Raw genomic sequence first — 19,427 nt, 5'->3', positions numbered from 1 at the left:
CACCTGCTGTGTGGCCCTTTGCCATGGCTTGAGTACTCAGAGGGTTCCAATAATGCTATTTCTTCCCCTTAACCCTTTACCCTTAAGGGTAGCAATGGCTTTCTGCTCTTGGTGGTCTCCAAGCATCTCAAGTTCTTTGTATATTACCTTAGCACTTTCCATGCCTCTGGAAGTATTCTTTGCTTTAAAGTCTTTGGACTCATTGGAGTTGGATCGTGTTCCACCAGGAATCTGAAGGGTTGCACAGAAGTATCATCTAGATGTCGGTTGGAACATCCAAAATAAAGTATTGGCTTTATATATTTATTTGTGTGACTTTAAAATTTATTTTTGAATTGATACATAATGATTATACATACTTATGGGGTGCACAGTAATGTTTCTGTACATAAACAGTACAGTAATCAGAGCTGGGTAATTAGCATATCCATCACCTCAAACATTTATCATTTCTTTGTGTTGGGAACATTCGATATCCTCTCTTCTAGTTACTTGAAAATATAAACTATTTTTTGATTAATGCTTGTTTCAATAACTGGACTATATCCTACCTGAGGGCAGGAAACATAACTATTGTACTCTTTACTTTTCACTTAGTAAACACTGTGTCACACACAGAGTAGTTAATAAATATCAGTTAATAAGTGATTTCATTAATAAATATTTATTGCATTTATCTCATACTATGTATACTTCTTGGCACTGGGAGGACTATAGTGAGGAGACGAGAGGCTATGAAGAAAAAGGTGTCATCATAAGGAGGTAGAGAGTTATGGTGGAACAGCAGAGTATGATTGGAATTACTTTCATTAGGTGGTCAGAGAATGTCTCTTTATGAAAGGTAATATTTGAGCAAAAATATAAATAAGAGTCAAGGAAACTAAATAAAGTGAGAGATGAACAGCCCCCACTAAAACCTGCAATAGGAAAGATGCTGTGTTTGGCATTGAGTACTTTTTTTTAAGCGTAAGAAATTCATGGCTATTAACATGAAGAACAGTTAGCATAAAAAGGTAAAGTCAAAGGTATATTATTAAATGTGTAATGAGTGACAGAGATGTTGTGTGCTAAAAGAGTCTGAAGGAGGCAAGAAAGTTGGAGAAATGTTAAAGGCAGAGGAATGTCTCAACTGTGGCAATATACTTAGACAAAAATATAGGACAAGGACATCACCGTGAAAGTAAAAACTTGAGCCAAGACCTGGAGGCAGAAATGCTTCTTTCGTTGCAGTAAAGAGGTAGTGAAGGGAGGTAGAAAGGCAGTTACATAAAGGCAGAAAAGTCAAACGCCTTCAATTTAATTATGCATAATCCTTGAAGTGGAATGTAGAGGAATTACTCTGCAGGAGGATTGGCAACTCTGCCTTAACTTTTTAAGCCCCAGTCATATTGTTCTAGCTTATCTTTGAATATAGCAGGTACATTCTGCAATCTAGAATAGCAACAAAAAAAAAAAAAAAAAAAAAGAAGAAAAAGAAGAACCAGAGGATGAGACCAAAGCAGTGTCTAAGACAGTACATCAGATCGCAATGAGGAAACCAAGAAGAAGGAGAGGCTTGACCACTGGACACAAAGGCAGGAAGCTTAGAAGCCAGGTTGTAGGGGATGCTGTGATGTGCTGTCCAGGGTTCCCCTTCAGGACCAGGCCTCTTATTTCCCCAGCTTCCAGGAGTGTTGTCTACTGACTACTCAGAGCTGAATTTCTCTCCTGAAATTGTCCTCACTGAAGGATGCTGCTTTAGTATGGTAGCACCCTTGCACCCAATGACTAGTCAATGCAGGGTACAAGATTACAGACCCCTTACTTTGATTCAGGACAACTCTGAAGAGCCCTTCTAATTCCATAGATCCCAATAAGATCTGCTGAGAACTCCATTGCAACAGTACTATAGTTCAACCTCTCCCTCCACTCCATTCTGCTTCTCTTTCACCTTTCTCTGAAGAGCTCCACCTTATAAACCTCCTGCATGCAATTCGCCACCTCAGACTCTTTTGCCTGGAAGAACTGATCTGTAAAAGCAGGCTGATATAGGAACTGAGCAGGAATGAAAGAGTAGGATCAAGTGCATCAAGTGGAAAGGCTTAGAGAGTTGCATTTTATATACGGGGTTATAATGAAGATGATTAATTTTACTGGCTATAAGCCAATGATAAAATTGGTTTAAAAGTGGTTGAAAGACATAGGATCAGCAAAGGTAATTTTCTTTTGGGTATCAGCTTGCCCTTAGAAGCCACACAGAGCTGCATACATCACACTTCTTGAGAAAAAAATGATAAAATCATGGGCTGGTTGGGTCATCAAATGGCTTTAATACCTATTCTTGATCATCTTAGACTTCACATAGAATGATTCTAGATGTGAAATTACATAACTTTTAATACATAGGAAGCAATTAAGCATTCTAAAGTTTCTTAGTCTTTCAGAGTGGAAAACAACAAGAAGCTGTTGGTAACTCACGTTTCAGTTTATTGTTTAGTATCAGTACTTAAAAAAATTCAAACGTGGTTATTCCTTTATTTTTTGAACTCCTTGTACACTAACATTGTCATGATGTCTGCTTTTCTTGACTTGGAGATTCCAACTCAATGTGATTATTTTGAGTAGAAGGAACTAATAATATAAAATATTATATCCAAAAATTGCAGAGTATAAGATCTGGAAGAAACTTTAAAAATAATAAAAACTAGAATAGTTGTAGTAACTACAGTCATGACACAAATGTCATAATTTCCTAGCTCAGACATAATAATTCATTTTATGAGAACACTGATATCCAAAAAAAATTCTTGTCAAGTAATTTTAGGGTTTACCTCATATATATTTTGTGAAAAAGTCCTCTTGGCTTTGCCATAGTGTTAGACATTTCCCCCTTATCTCCAGTCTCATCTTGGAGCCCAAAGAGGTTGCTTTGAAGCCACACTTCAAAGATGCCCTGCAAAGACAATATTGCTTCGGCTGGTGCTCATTAAAGGTGGCTCCATTACTGCTTCTGTTTGTGTTGACCACATGGGATCTGCTAGGTAGCTGATGTCTGTCTACAAAGTACCCCCCCAGAAGCTACGAAAGCTGCTTTACCAATGCTAGACCACTGATGTAGAGTCCACATTTTTAATCTCTTTAATTGCAGTCTCTTTATAACTCCAAAATGAGTTTAAGGAAACTGGAGTAGGAACATGTTTAAAGATTTTTATAAGTTGTATTGAGAATCCCTGTTCCACTCAATCTTGGCCTTTGATGCTTATTATGCCTGGCCTTTTATTACTGTCATAAAGAGATACATAGTAGTTATGTAACATAGTAGTTATGAGCAGGAATATTGATTTAAGCCATTCATGGTTTTCAGACCCAGCTCTGCTATGGACTAAATGCCTCCATTTTGACATAGATCTTTAAAAGTCTCTCAAAGATTGTTTCTTCATCCGCAAAGTGGACAGAATCATAGTTGTGAATATCAGATGAAGTATTGTGTTGTTTCCCAAGACTTCGAGATTTAGTGAATCACTAAAATAACACAAAATAATGGGAGGAGGGAAAGCAACAAAGGTTTGCCAAGTAAGTTTATCTAGTGCCTCAATTCCATGAGAGAAATTACAGTTTATCATCAAACACATAGAATATACAACTGCATTTATCAAGGAAAAAATTGGGAACTTTATACATCTCTCACTCTCTGGCATATGTCTCCACATCTAGCTTTATATTGTTATATATCCTTTAGATGTGGTCTCCTTTGAAACAGGTGTCTGATCCCCCTTAGATAAAGGACCTTCTGCAAATCCTGCATTTGCTTCTGGGCATGATGTTTTGGTTTTGCAAGATCCTTGGATATGAATATCTCCAGAGGCATCCTGAGCTCAAAGTAACATACTTCCAGAACCAGCCTTCAACAAAACTCTGCCTTAGCTCAATCAGCACTAGGCCTTCCAAGATAGAGGGTAAAACTTAGACCAGACTGTCAGAATGAGACCCTGGCTATGCCAACTGCTCTAAATTCTAAAATCCACAACATTGATTCAGGCTTAGTATGTGGCATTGAATTTCATCATCCATCTTAGCACATTGACAGTGATATAAGGGTCTACATCCCAGAATGAAAGGCAGAACTAGATTTCAGAACTAGAGAAAAAGCTTAATTATGTTTATAGCATAAATCACAAGTATGGTCCAGATACCGATAATGCATCAATTTATTTTCTAATAAATAAAAATGCTTAGAGGTGATGGAGTGCTTTTCATCTTGAGAGCAATTTATGAACATTGACTAATTTATCATTATTTACAAGCCAATTAATTTTCACTACCCTGAGGTAGAAACTGTAATTATGCCAGACTGGCAGATGGGAGAAAAAAACTGGGGAGAGAATGAAGACAGAATTGTGAGCTTAATAGTCCTGAATTAAGGGGATATTTACAATTTGTATTAGTCCATTTTCTCATTGTTGATAAAGATATACCCGACAATGGACAATTTATAAAAGAGGTTTATTTGACTTGTAGTTCCGCATGGCTGGGGAGGCCTCACAATCATGGTGGAAGGCAAGGAGGAGCAAGTCACATCTTACGGGGATGGCAGCAGGCAAAGAGAGAGCTTGTGCAGGGAAACATTAATTTTTAAAACCATCAGATCTCGTGAGACTCATTCAGTATCAGGAGAACAGCATGGGAAAGACCCACCCCCATAATTCAATCGCCTCCCACCGAACTCCTCCCACAACACATGGGAACTTCAGGAGTTACAATTAAAGATGAGGTTTGGGTGGGGAAAAAGCCAAACTATATCATTGTTCAATTGAAATCCCATAAAATAAAATCTGCAGTGGATATTTTGGTAAGATATTATTTCAAATACTGACAAGTCATTCACTGGCTTACTGTCATCCTCACCTCCTCCCTCATTCAACAACTTATTTACTCAATTCATTCTTTTAACCAATGTTTTTGAAGTGCTCTAACAGGTACTAAAATAAGAACTTGAGTACCTTGAGTAAGATATATTAGCCATTCTCAAGAAGTTCATGGTTATATAAAAGAAACAAAAATTTTAGCAAATAATGGCAAAATGGTTTTATAATGACTATAGGATACGTAACAAGTGAGTTATTAAATCAAACTGGATAGTAGGGGCAGTAAAAGCTCCCTGGGTAAGATGTCGCTTCTGCTGGTGCTTTTTTTTTTTTTTTTTTTTTTTTTTTTTTTGAGACAGAGTCTCACTCTGCTGCTAAGGCTGGAGTCCATTGGCACAGTCTCAGCTCACTGCAACCTCCTCCACCTCCTCAGTTCGAGCAGTTCTCCTGCCTCAGCCTCTTCAGCAGCTAGGATTACAGGCATGTGCCACCACACCCAGCTAATTCTTGTATTCTTAATAGAGATGGGGTTTTGCTGTGGCCAGGTTGGTCTTGAACTCCTGACCTCAAGTGATCTGCCTGCCTCGGCCTTCCAAAGTGCTGGGATTACAGGTGTGAGTTACCATGCCCAGCCCACTGTTGCTTCTTGAAAGATGACTGCGTTTTTTTTTAGAAATAATGATATGGGGTTGATAGTGTTGATATGGGGTTGATAGTTCATGCCAGGAAATGAAGACTCAGTGGGCACTTGAAGCTACTGAACTGGAACTCAGATGAAGGGTTTATGCCCACTGTGAGCTGGCCTCAGTCCCTTCATCCCAAAACAGCTTCAGGATGAGAAACTCAAATTACCATCAGTTACTGTACAGTGGATATTTAGTAGGTTTCTCAGAGGGCACTGGTATTTACAACAATGGAAAATTTGCTTTCTCTTAATCTCCTTCCAATTGCAGAAATATGAATAGTGTAGAATATTAATCAAGAATATGTCTGTAATATTTTTGGAGGTGAGTTATTTATTTTTATATAGAAAGCCTGTTACTCAGAGCTCTTACTTTTCTTTTGTATTCCATCAGCAGCAGTAACTGAATAACTGTCTTCAAAAAGATCTGTGAGTTTAGATGAGTTCTTCAAGGTAAAAGTTATCCTCAAGCCTACAGGGATAAACCTCAAATGATTTCCTGTTTCAAATAAAAGAAAGGGTTGAGAGGCTTATCTAGGCATAGGTCTTTTAGAGTGTACTTACATAAGAATATAAATACAGTTTTTACCACTTCTAATTTCTTTTTTAAAAAATCATATTCACTCTAATGCCAAGTTAAAATGTCTATCCTATACAGATTGAGAATGATAAAAGCATACTGCCAGGATCTCATTACTGATTATGAGACTTAAGACAGCAGTTATAGGAAAGGTTATTTCATTGTTACCTTGTGTTTTTTTCAGAAGGAAGCTTACTTCATCCTTAAGCCAGTGAAATATTTACAATGCAAAGATACATTTGGACTTTGGGTTTGCTAGTGATACAGTCTCCCTTAGTGAATTCCAATTATTCTTTCCAGACTATTTGGAGAGAAATGTAAATCTGTTTCATGGCCTCCATGTTTTAAAGTGGTTTCTTACCAATTTATCTTAATCTATATCCGAGCTTTTTGACCTGGGTGTGACGTGATGCTATAACTTCAACTGTTTCAGAAGACCAACGGGCATGATTACTAATACTTTGTGGATTAAAATAAATTCCTGTAGAATTTAAAACTTAGTCATTTTCTCTCTGAAGAATTTTTATAGATGAGACATGAAAGAACTTTCTAATAACACTTACCAGCTGAGCAAGTGTTACATGTTTGTTCTCTGATTCTATCTTTACCTGACAACTATAATGGGAAAGCTATCTACAGACCAGGACCTGTAATTTACTATCATCGTGGGCTTCTAACCAGATCATATTTTCGTTTGTATAGCAGAGTAATATTGTTGAAGTTAGCTCCTAAATGAACCTGTTCCATTTCATACTTAAAGAATTTATTTCACCTTGTTTGAATTCCATTTTGTCACTCACACGATTTAGCACAAACTCCTAAATTGGCAAGAAAGCAATGACAAAAATCCCTAATTTAACATTGCAAGTTACAGTGTACATTACTTTCATATACATGATCTCACATGTATATTAACTTTGTACTAGATATCTTTTCAGGAGGGTCAGTGCTACACTAGTGAATTTATGTTTCAGATATTTTCCACATGCTTCACTGCAGTGTTCTTCACAGGCTGAATTGTGTATTCTAGCTTTCATCATTAGGCCATTAATCTTAATAACTTTGATGTGTTGTTGCTGCATGTCAAGTAGATAAAACAACGATGAAGACCATTTAATATACAACAGCATGCTGCTAATCACCTCTTATGGGGTCTGTCTGACTTAATCTTACAGTCATGAATTCAGGTTAGAGGTTATCAGCATTTGAAAGAGAAGGAAATAATGGATTACCCACTTGTAATTATGTGGATAATGATCAAATTTAATAGAATCACACTTTGTATGTTAGCTAAATATAAAGAATAATATTTACTGAAAATTACCTGTAGATCTTTGTTGATTAGATACAGAAGATATTGTGGTTGAAAATTGTTAGTTTTCCTGAACACAGATAATGGTATACAAAACAATGTGCTAACCATGATGGGAACGATAAAGTACCCGCTGATATTTCTGATGCATTTCCTCTGTGTTCTATATAAAGTCCAAACTTAGAGATAACTGGTGCATTTATCCGGGGTCCTGGAGTGATCCTTACGAATCTATAAAATCCCTAAAATTGTATGCTAAGATTTTTCTGTATATAGACATATTTTTCTTGTATGAACCCTCTTTCATCAATTCTCCAAAGTTTTCTTTACCTCAAAGGAGTTGAGAACTACTGAAATGGATATATAATTTCTTTGATAAAATATAGAAAATGACTTTTCCTTCCCTCAGTGAATATGTAACTATGAATCTAAATAAATCTAAATAACTAATATTAGAATTTTCTATTGAATAATACTATGTCCAAGTGAAATAGCTCACCATTTCAACTTTCTTTCAAGTTTTATTTGTCATTTGTTGCATAGATTCTGTTCTAGTTGGAGCATTGACTGTAACAGATTCACAAGTCTTTTCTGGTTCCATACAAAATAGATGGTATACTCATTCATGTCACTGATTTGACTCACATCAATTTCAGCATTCCATTAAAAAATCCAAAGGTCTATATTCTGGTTACGCTAGCATAAATAATTGGGTTTATTTTCATAATCATTTAAAAAAAGTCACTTCACAGGAGTTTATATATATAGGGTGATGAGCAAGGAATAACAAAAATCTGCATTGACCTATGGATGTGGGGCAGTTAGGTGGGTAATTTGCTTCCACGCCATAATCTCACATCATCTACTACTCAAATTTTTGCCTTAGAAAAATTGCATATCATATAACTCACAAATTATGTTACCCACAATAGTTGAAATTATAAAGTTAAATCCAGTAAGACTGTAGTCTACTGTAGTCCTAAAGTAATGATAGAAGCATAAATAATGATGGATTAAGAAACAACCAAAAACCAAATGACAATTCATGGTAAAATAATAAGGTGTAATCTTTTGTTTTAGATTTTAAAACTTGCTTTGAGGGCAATTTCAAAGTAAAATTAAAAATAAAGTTTTAAGCAATGGTAACCTCATTGCAATAAACATGTAGATACTCCCTAGGTTTTACTTTGAAGAAAAGTACACATTTGCATATGCAAATGTTGATGTTTCGTTGAAAAGAAAATTATCCTGAAAAGCTTATGAAGCCATAGCATTTCAGAGGTTTGGAGGTGACTTCCCCTGGTATGGTTAAATAAGGAGGGTAACTATAAGGAGATAGGGATAAAACTGAGCTTTGAAAATTGCTAGGATAGCCACAGTGCAGAATAGTAGGAAATGCATTTCTAGAGTTAGAAATGGAGTAAGCATGCACCCAGAGGAAGGAGAATGCCAGGTATTTCAATGTGATAATAACTTTGGTTCAAGCTATTTGTGGAGGAAGGTAAAAAAAAAACCCATCATTTTCTGGAAAATCAGGTGGAGATCAGATTGCCAAGGGTCTAATTCCAAACCTTCTGGGCTCTTTTGTCATCCATCAAGCTCAAGATCATTTTTTTTCCTTGGACCTCCACTAACATTTGCATCTGTATTATTCATAGACATTTATTATTTATAGTCTTTTGCCATCATTATCTTTTCATATATATTTGTCATTTCTCCAAACAGATTGTAAATTCTTGAAGAGCCCTTTTACCTAGGTGTTGCATGGCACCTAGATAGGTTTCTGTTGGCATATTGCAGTTAACCAAACAAACAAACAAACAAAAAAGTGGCTAGAAAACTGCCTTGTACTTTAAAAACGTTATCAATTTTGTAGAATCAATCTACACAGCACAATTCCTGCCTTACCTTTGCCAAATCATATGCAGAAAGAATGAGGTATTACATGGTGGAGGAAAAAGATTACAGGCTTAGATTTATATTCAGGGTTCTAATTCTAGTTATATTACTGGCTTTTTTTTTTTTTTTTGGACTTAGGCTTATTGAATTCTCCTCTGCTATCTCTTTTATAAAATTGGGTTATCACTACCTGTCTTCTATTTCAAAATAACTTTTTTAGAGTTAGGGTCACTTAGTAATGAAGTGATTACATACCTAAGAGGGCGTAAGACTTTATAATTTTATTATTTTAAGTGATAAACAGCAAAAACTCAGCAAACAGTGTCAGTAGCTGCAAATCAAAGGCTGATCTTTAATCCAGTCTTGTGAAGAATGAACATTTGACCCACTCCAGTCTGTTATGTCACATTGCCACAAAGGCAGCAGTCATAAAAATACAGGTTAAGGAAAGGTAACAATTAACCCCTGTGGACAGCAGTTTCTTCACCTGTAAAATAAGAGATGTAGGGCAGTGACCTTCAAAGACCCTTTTAGTTCTAAGCTTCTAGAATATTCTTTAGTACCTCAATAATTTCAGCTAGAGAAATGGGGGAAAGTCTAATTTTGCCCTTTATTGGTAAGATAGCAGAGCCAGCTCACACAAACTGGTGAGAGTGAATTATTAAATCTCCAGCAGTTTAGAGGGCCAATTGACACCATGGTAATAGCTAGAAATCGGCCAGAATATACCACAGAGATTTGCAAATCTACAAATCAGTATCTTCTCCAACAGTCGGTTGTTAAACTTTCAGTAGCCCATCTCTGATCCTATTTGATCTCACATCCTGAATTGTGGGAATTATACAGCTGTGCAGAGCAAAACAAATAGAAAAGACTAAGAGGGCCTGTTGGATGTACCTTAGAACCACAGGATACGCAAGAGGACCAAGCACTGTGGTTAGCAAACATCAGGCAGCTAGGTGGTGGGAGAATGGATTTTGGGCTTAAATGACTGGAGAATATAGACTTGCGTTAGAGCCTGTGAGTAGTAATGACCAGCCCATTGTGAACTGGGAAATGGACATTGATTCTGCCTTACCAGTTTAATTAATCACAATATGTAATTGTTTGTATTCAAATTAAAAATATAGATTCTGTTGTTATTCATCTGAGTATGGGTATAGTTGTTCTTTACATCTGTTTTAGAAATTAATTTGTCTGGTTGGCAGCTATTGCTGGTATGAATAAAACCTGTTTTCGAGGGCAGCCCTGTCTCTTGGCTCTTGGTGGACTTGTTGTTTTGTCTTGTTAACAAATATTTATTTCTCTGTGGCTAAATATACAACTTAGTCACCACCTGTTATGAAATTGGAAGCCATAGAAACATAAAAGTGTTTGAAACTGGTAAAACTTAAACTGTGATTAGCCCATTTCTAAGTAGAATGACAAATTCTATGTTTTTAGGTTAAAAGTTTGACATCTTCAGTTTATGCTCATTCACCTTTCACCTCTTGCTACTGGATCTGCTTCAACTTTCTTTCTGTATCTTAAAAAATTTCTCTTTATTCGTTGGTATTTACACTTTTCCACTTAAAGTGATATTAACATTCAGAGAGTAAATTCACTACCTGCTTTTCAAAGATCCTGATTTTGTTAGTTGAATCTCTTGTTTTGTTGGATGCTTCCATTGATTATAATAGGAGACTGAAAGCTGGAAGAATGTGGGCCAAAATGAGCATATAATTCCAGTGATTATCCACCCAAAATGACTTTTGTATACAGATTATACTATCTACTGTGTTTAGACACTGCACCTTTTACAAATTGCTTATAAGAATATGCTGTAGCTAAAATATAAAAGTGAATGTGATTTTTCTGTATAACCTCAAGATTGCCAATTTGGTAAGCTTGTGATTTTTTTTTTCTCAATATCTATCTCTTCAGGGTCAAAATTGTATTATTTCTTATGTTTTTCTACAGTTTATTTTCCCAGATACTTGAATTTGACTTGAAAATCTTAGAACATTACATTTTCAGATAGAGACATTCCAGGTCAGTAGAAATAAAACTCATTAACCTTTAATATGTCCTTGCTACATTCTGGACCTTGTGCTAAAATTTGTGCAAGTGTTATTTAATCTACGTGGCAAGCCAATGAGGTAGAAACTTGCTATGGATTTATCAACCAAAAAACAAAGATAGTGGAGAAAATTATCTCCAAATATTTTGAATTTATTGGGGAACAGGAAAAGAGGGTTATAATCCAGAATGAATTATGGCAAGCCACACATGTATCTGGTAAGGGAAGAGTAAGTAGAAGCTTTATTGGCAAAAAAGGAGAAGTCAATGTAAGCTGCTTGGAAACAGAGTTCATTGGTTCTGGTGGCTCAGAGCTAGAGCTGACAACAGTTCATTGGTGAAGGTACTATTACTGGGCAAGTGTTGTTTCCAAAGCATCTTATTCTGAATTACTGTGGTGCTAAAGAGTGTCTAGTGATAAACCTTCTTAGCCAGGAGTGGTGGCTAATGGCTGTAATCCCAGCACTTTGGGAGGCTGAGGTGGGTGGATCATTTGAGGTCAGAAGTTGGAGACCAGCTTGGCCAACATGGTGAAACCCCGTCTCTACTAAAAATACAAAAAATTAGCTGGGAGTGGTGGTGCATGCCTGTAATGTCAGCTACTTGGGAAGCTGAGGCAGGAGAATCGCTTGAACCTGAGAGGTAGAGGTTGCAGTGAGCTGAGATCGTGCCACCGCACTCCAGCCTGGGCAACACAGTGAGACTCTGTCTCAGGAAAAAAAAATCAAAAAACCTTCTCATAGAAATGCATATATGGGTATGAAACGTGAAAGTCTTGCAAAGCAGGAGATGCATGAATGATATGAAGGGATTTCTTGTGGGGTTTTAGAAAGTTCTTGGAAACAGTTCTTATCTCAGAGATACAAGTATGAACCTCCTCCCTTATGCTTTTCTTAACCAATTTTATCTGCGTCTGACAAGAGTGACTTCATTCTGGTGTCTGCCACTTTCACAGGTTGAATCGTGTGTCCTACCAAAGCATATTTTGGAGTCCTGACACCCAGTACCTCAGAATGTGACTCTATTTAGAGATAGAGCTTTTAAACAGAGAATTAAGGAAAAATGAGGTCTCATGGGTGAATCCTAATCCAATATGATGGGTGTCCTTATAAGAAGAAGAAATTAAAACACAGACACACACACAGACAGAAAGATGACCATTTGAAGAGAAAGGGAAAATATAGCTATCACAAGCCAAGCAGAGAGGCCTCATAATGAAACCAACCTGCTGACACTTCAAAAAAATTTTAATTTTAGATTCGGGGGTACATGTACAGGTTACAAGGGTGTACTATATGACATTGTATGACACTGAGGTTTGGCCTTCTATTGTCCTGTCAACCCAGATAGTGAACATAGTAACTAATAAGAAGTTTTTCAACCCTTGCCCCCTTCCCTCCCTCTTTTTGGAGTCCCTAGTATATATTACTCCCATTTTTATGTCCATATTTACCCAAAGTTTAGCTCCAAATTACAAGCGAGAACATATGGTATTTGGTTCTCTGTTTCTGTGTTAATTCTCTTAGGATAATAGCCTCCAGCTGCATCCATGTTGCTGCAAAGGACATGATTCATTTTTTATGGCTGTATAGTATTCCATGGTGTATATATACAACTTTTTTTTTTAATCCAGTCCACTGTTAATGGGCACCAACACTGATTCCACGTCTTTTCTATTGCGAATAGTGTTGTGGTAAACATACAAGTGCAGCTGACTTTTTGGTGGAACAGTTTATTTCCTCTGGGTATATATGCAGTAATGAGATTGCTAGGTTGAACGGTAGTTCTATTTTAGTTCTTTGAGAAATCTCCCAACTGCTTTCCACAATGGCTGAACTAATTTATATTCCCACCAACCGTACATAAGCATTCCCTTTCCTCCTCAGTTTTGCCAACCTGTCATTTTTTGACTTTTTAATGTTAACTATCCTGACTGGTGTGAGATGGTATCTCATTGTGGTTTTGATTTGCATTTCTCTGATGATTAGTGATTTTGTGCAATTTTTCATATATTCGTTGGACTCTTGCATGTCTTCTTTTGAGAAGTGTCTGTTCATGTCCTTTGTTGATTTTTTAATGGGGTTATCATTATTACTATTTTTTTCTTTTTTTTTCTTTTCGCTTTTTTTTTTGAGACAGAGTCTCGCTCTGTCACCCAGGCTGGAGTGCAGTGGCGTGCTCTCCGGCTCACTGCAAGCTCCACCTCCCGGGTTCAGGCCATTCTCCTGCCTCAGCCTCCCCAGTAGCGGGGACTACAGGCGTCTGCCACCAGGCTTGGCTAATTTTTTTGTATTTTTAGTGGAGACGGGGTTTCACCGTGTTAGCCAGGATGGTTTCAATCTTCTGACCTCATGATCCGCCCGCCTCAGCCTCCTGAAGTGCTGGGATTACAGGCGTGAGCCACCATGCCCGGCCATTACTATTTTTTTGCTTGTTGACTTGATAAGTTCCTTATAGACTCAGGATGTTAGGCCTTTGTTGGATGCATAGTTTGTAAATATTTTCTGTCATCCTGCATGTTGTCTGTTTACCCTGTTGAAATCTCCTTTTGCTGTGCAAAAACTCTTTACCTGCCGACACTTTGATCTTGGATGTTGAGATCCCAAATCTGTGAAAAAATAAATTTCTGTTTTTGAAGCCACCCAGTCTGTGGTATTTCATTATGGCAATTATTGCAGACTTATTTTGTTGGGGCAGCTGCTAGCAGACCTCGAAGTACTATTAGTCTTTTCATTATACATATGAATAATCTGAGATTTAAAGGGATTAGACAAAGTGTCCAAGACCACATACATGGTAAGTACCTGATTGAGACTCAAACTAAGGTTATTCATTAAGCAAGTATCTCTTTACCCTATACCATATACCAGGCACTATTACATCCAATCGTACAAAAATGAGGAGAAAAATTCCAAAAGAAGGGCAGAATCAAGGGATCCAAATTTTAAGAATAGTTAAGTAGTTCCTGCATCAAAATCAAGCACTATCTGAAAACAGTCTGCAGGTTGCTGCTGGAGGCAGTGGGGTTCTCTGGAATCTTGCTGTACCCTTTCTGGTGTGTTAGACAGTGAAATTTTACTGAGCCAAAATGTTGCTATTACAGGCCATGATCCCTTCCCTAAAGATCATTTGGAGAAACATAGGTCCACAAGTATTTTTCAAACACGTAAAAACAAAAACAAAAACAAAAAATAAGAAAGAAGAAATTCTTAGCAATCAATGTTGGGAACTTTTCTTTATCACTCTTTTGGAGCTTCTGCATAGCACAAGACTCCCCCAGCCCTCAGGCTGCAGACTGACAGGGGTCCTTGGCCTGTTAGAAAAGGGCCGCACAGTAGGAGGTGAGCTACAGGCAGCCAGCATGACCGCCTGAGCTCCACCTCCAGTCAGATCCACAGCGGCATTAGATTCCCATAGGAGCATGAACCCCACTGTAAACTATGCATGCAAATAATCTAGGCTGCGCGTTCCTTATGAGAATCTAACTAATGCCTGATGATCTGAGGTGGAACAGTTTTATCCCAAAACCATAAATGATCACAAGACTCTTATTTTCAGGTGGTGGGCGCCTGTAGTCCCAGCTACTGGGGAGGCTGAGGCAGGAGAATGGCGGGAACCCGGGAGGCAGAGCTTGCAGTGAGCCGAGATTGCGCCACTGCACTCCAGCCTGGGCGACAGAGCGAGACTCCATCTCAAAAAAAAGACAAAAAAAATTATCACATAGCTAATAGGCAACTCTTTGAAGTAAAAGGGTGTTAATGGTAAATCTTGTATTTTTTTTTTTCTCACTGTCACCCAGGCTGGAGTGCAGTGGCCAAATCTCGGCTCACTGCAACCTCCACCTCCTGGGTTCAAGCTATTCTCCTGCCTCAGCCTCTTGAGTAGCTGGAATTACAGGCCCGTGCCACCATACCCAGCTAATTTTTGTATTTTTAGTAGAGATGGGGTTTCACCATGTTGGCCAGGCTGGTCTCAAACTCCTGACCTCAAGTGATATGCCTGTCTTGGCCTCCCAAAAGTGCTAGAATTACAGATGTGAGCCAGCACACACAGCCAAATCTTATATTTTTATAATTAATTATTTAAATTGACTTTTAAAAATTAGTAACATTACAATTTACATTACAGATATCCAAATATATATTTAATCCAAATCAAGAATTTCTAAAGAGCAGTTTCAGTTTAAATGGGTGAAATATTAAGAAAGATTACATGGAGTACAAATTAGTGTTAATAAGCTTACATGTATACTTTAAGAATTAACTGTATGAAACTCATTAATTTGAATTAGAAATTTTAGAAATTTCAACATAATAATCTTCATGTTGTTCCATTACAATAATGTCATTTCTATGTTAGAAGAGGATAAGTACATATTTTGTTGAAGAGATAAATATAGTAAAAAATATGTGGAATCTTATGCCATATCTTTATAGTCAATTTTTACAGAAATCTGTATGCTAAGGATGGTCTTCCAAGTTATCACATATTAGGGACAGCTAGACAAGTGACCTGAAAATATCAGGAGTGTGGTGGATCGGTAATTCTTTTAGAATCTGACAATATCATGCTACTTACTTACAAATGCCAACCACATCTCCTAGGCAGGATTAATCCATCTGTTCTCTTTGAGCTTGGTGTATACAACTTCAGTCTGTGAGCTCAGTGATTTAGAGAGGAGACTACTTCATATGCGTCTTTTAAAAAGAAAATTCAGACATTTAAAAGAAGAAATTAAGACTTCTTCATTCTTCTAAGACACTGCAAACTTAAAGAAATCATTTTATAAAGATAGCAATTGGCAGTATTCCTTAAATATCTTTTAAAATATAGTTCAAATATAGTTAAACTAACATACAACTTTCCAGGAAAGTACTTGTTGCACAGAGTGAGGTATATCTACATAATATTAGATTTCTTCCCATAATCATTTTACTTACATTCAATTATAATTTGTATTTAGCCTTTACGGCACATAAACTTATTTAGTTATTCTGAAGTTATAATTATATTTTTGCCGTAAAATATTAATCAGTAGGCTAACCCTACACAAAGTAAATTATGGTTTTTACTATGTTATAGTGGTTATATATGTTCGGAAATAATGAATTTGAAAGTGTTTAAAATAAATATTTTGATTAATTAGTGATAAAATTCACGTACATACAAGTAATTAGTGCTTTTGAATGTGTTTAATAATGTGATGCTATGTAAATAATTATACACATTTATGATTCCTAATAAGAAGATAAACTGTGATTCTTTGGATTATGTACTATTTTAAAAAATTATGATGGTACTGTCTATATCATATAATGATTATATACAAAGAGTAACTGATTTTAAAACTTGTTGAAATTCAGACACATTTTAAGTAATTTTAAACCGAATCATTATTTTTGAGCTCTCCAAAACATTATCTTATTTAGTAATGTGCTTCCTTAAATTTTAGCTACTTACATGCTGTCCTACCCTATTTATGTTCTTATAAAAGAATACCTGAGGCTGGATAATTTATAAAGAAAAGAGGTTTATTTGGCTCATGGTTCTGCAGACCGTATAAGAAGCAGTGCGCTGGCATCTGCTCCTGGTAAGGGCCTCAGGAAGTTTCTACTCATGGCAGAAGGTGAAGAGGAGACGACATCACATGGAAAGGAAGGAAAGGAGAGGGAAGGGAAGTGCCAGGTTGTTTTCAACAATTGGCTTTGGCTAAAACCAACAGGGCAAGACCTCACTTATCACTGCAAGGACAGCACCAAGCCCCCATCAGGAGGGATTCACCTCCCTTGACGAAACACCTCCCACCAGACCCCACCTCCAATGTTGGGAATCAAATTTCAACATGAGATTTGGAGGGAACAAATATCCAAACTACATTACATGCAGACAAGAAAACATATGGAAGTGAAAAATACCGCTAGCATATCTAGGACTTGATATCATACTAAGTCATACGCAAAGCTAATTACATTTTATAATAATGGAATGTTACTAAAAATTTAGATGTGATTTTGTTAAATTTGCTTTCCACGAAAAAAACTACATCTTTTGCTTAATATGTGTCTATGCTTAGCTTTTTTTACCCCCTAAAACTGAAAGAAAATGTATTTTAAAATATTATTTTTTGGTTTAAGAAATTTTGGAAATGTTTCTGATGGGCATGTTGCCAATTTGAAAATGGTATTACTCACATAAGAATAGTTTTTAAAAATGTTAGATTTTCCGCCAGACGCGGTGGCTCACGCCTGTAATCCTAGCACTTTGGGAAGCCAAGGCTGGCGGATCACGTCAGGAGATCGAGACCATCCTGGCTAACACGGTGAAACCCCGTCTCTACTAAAAATGCAAAAAAATTAGCCAGGCATGGTGGCGGGCGCCTGTAGTCCCAGCTACTCAGGAGGCTGAGGCAGGAGAATGGCGTGAACCCGGGAGGCGGAGCTTGCAGTGAGCCGAGATCGTGCCACTGCACTCCAGCCTGCGCGATAGAGCGAGACTCCGTCACAAAAAAAAAAAAAAAAATGTTAGATTTTCCAGGGATTGAATGTCATGTCAGCTCCCCCTTCCGCCTGCCAAAACAAACAAAACACTAAAAAGTAAAAAAATAAAAAATGTAAGTTACTAAGGTCTTCTTTAGTTATAGAGTAGATATAAATTTGTCTGTCCAGGATTCCATTTTAGGGAAACCACCTCTTGCCCTTTCTAGAGCTAGCCTGTGCAGTCCACAGGACTTCAGCGTTCAGTTGTGCCTCACTCCCACCCTGGCTCTGAGGGAGGCAACTGTGATCTAAACCTGGCTTAAACAGAGTGACATACCTTCCCACCTCCCTGCTTCATTAATAGAGTCACACAGAGTCCCGTCTGGAGCTTTTGAGGTGCCTCTGTGATCTCTGGAACTTAAAGATCATATTAACCTAAAGTTGCTTGTGTTCATGCCTCTTCCAGGTGGAGAGATCCTCCTGGAGAACCAAGCCAGAAGGGAGGAGAACAGAGTCAAGAGCTAGAGATCAAGTTTTGTTGGCCATCTGGGGGTACCTGCATTCAACTGTGGTTGAAGAAAAGTGCAAATCCTGGGTTATCTTCTAACATAAATCTAGACCAAACTAGAAGGAAACCACAACAGAATAAATAAACAGAACATTCTTACTCATGTTGGTTGGAAGTGGGCTTCTGTCATTTAAAATCAAGAGTCCTGCTTGGCATAAACACATTATTCTATCTGAACACAAGGCTTTGGGAAATTGAAAGTAAATACACTGTGTTTAACAAATATTAGTGAGCTTCAAATACGTTCCAGGCAGTATCCCTAGGTAGATGGGATGAGAAAAAATAAATCTCTGTCCTTTTGAAACCTACATTTTAGCTGGGACAGAGAGCCAATAAGACAAAATCATAATAAGTAAATTCTAATGTATCTTACAAGGTGATAAATGCTAAGGAAAATTTTTGAGCAGAATAAGGAGACAAGAAACCATGGAGGCAGAGTGGGAACGAGTTCTGAAAACAAGTTGAAACAGGGCAGTTAGAAAGGGCTTCCCTTCTTGAAACAGGGCAGTTAGAAAGGGCTTCTCTTACAGGGTGATTAAACAAACCCTTAAAGGAGATGAAGGAGTTAGTAGGAAGATACCTGCAGGTGGAGAATTTCAGACAGAGTAACAAGCCAATATCAATGTAGAATCATGCCTACTATATGCAAGGAGCATGAGGGAGGCAGGGATTTTTATGGAGTAGCAGAGAGATAAAATCAGTAGCTCATGGGAAAACTGGGATCAGGAAAGTACTTTTGGGGATGAACCAGGGTAAAAGGAAAAACTGATGACATAGGAGATAGAGGAAAGGGAGCAATGGGGCCTAGTTGATAAGGACCAGTCCTAGGAGATGGAACAGTCAGGAATGCCAACACAGTGCACAGGTGCAGAAACAGATGAGCAGCAATCGGCCACCAGTGGAGAGAGAGGATGGATCAGGAAGTGTTGGAGGCTCAAAGACATAAAACAAGGTGTAAAATACATCTAGGATATGGGGGGAAGAAATGAGATAGGGACCTCCAGTGTA

At 37.4% G+C, this 19,427-nt stretch overlaps 1 long non-coding RNA gene across 1 annotated transcript in view; it reads left to right on the top strand.

Moving 5' to 3' along the window:
* LOC124902059 (uncharacterized) overlaps window positions 1-18,522 on the top strand; it is a 59,776-nt gene extending 41,254 nt beyond the window's left edge. The window contains exon 2 of the long non-coding RNA XR_007061172.1: window positions 18,318-18,522. This is a non-coding gene — a long non-coding RNA (uncharacterized LOC124902059). The remainder of the gene's footprint in view (window positions 1-18,317) is intronic.
* Window positions 18,523-19,427: the final 905 nt, after the last annotated feature.

Source organism: Homo sapiens, chromosome 8, assembly GCF_000001405.40.
Source record: "Homo sapiens chromosome 8, GRCh38.p14 Primary Assembly".
NCBI lineage: Eukaryota > Metazoa > Chordata > Mammalia > Primates > Hominidae > Homo > Homo sapiens.
This window is presented reverse-complemented; position numbering and strand designations above follow the sequence as displayed.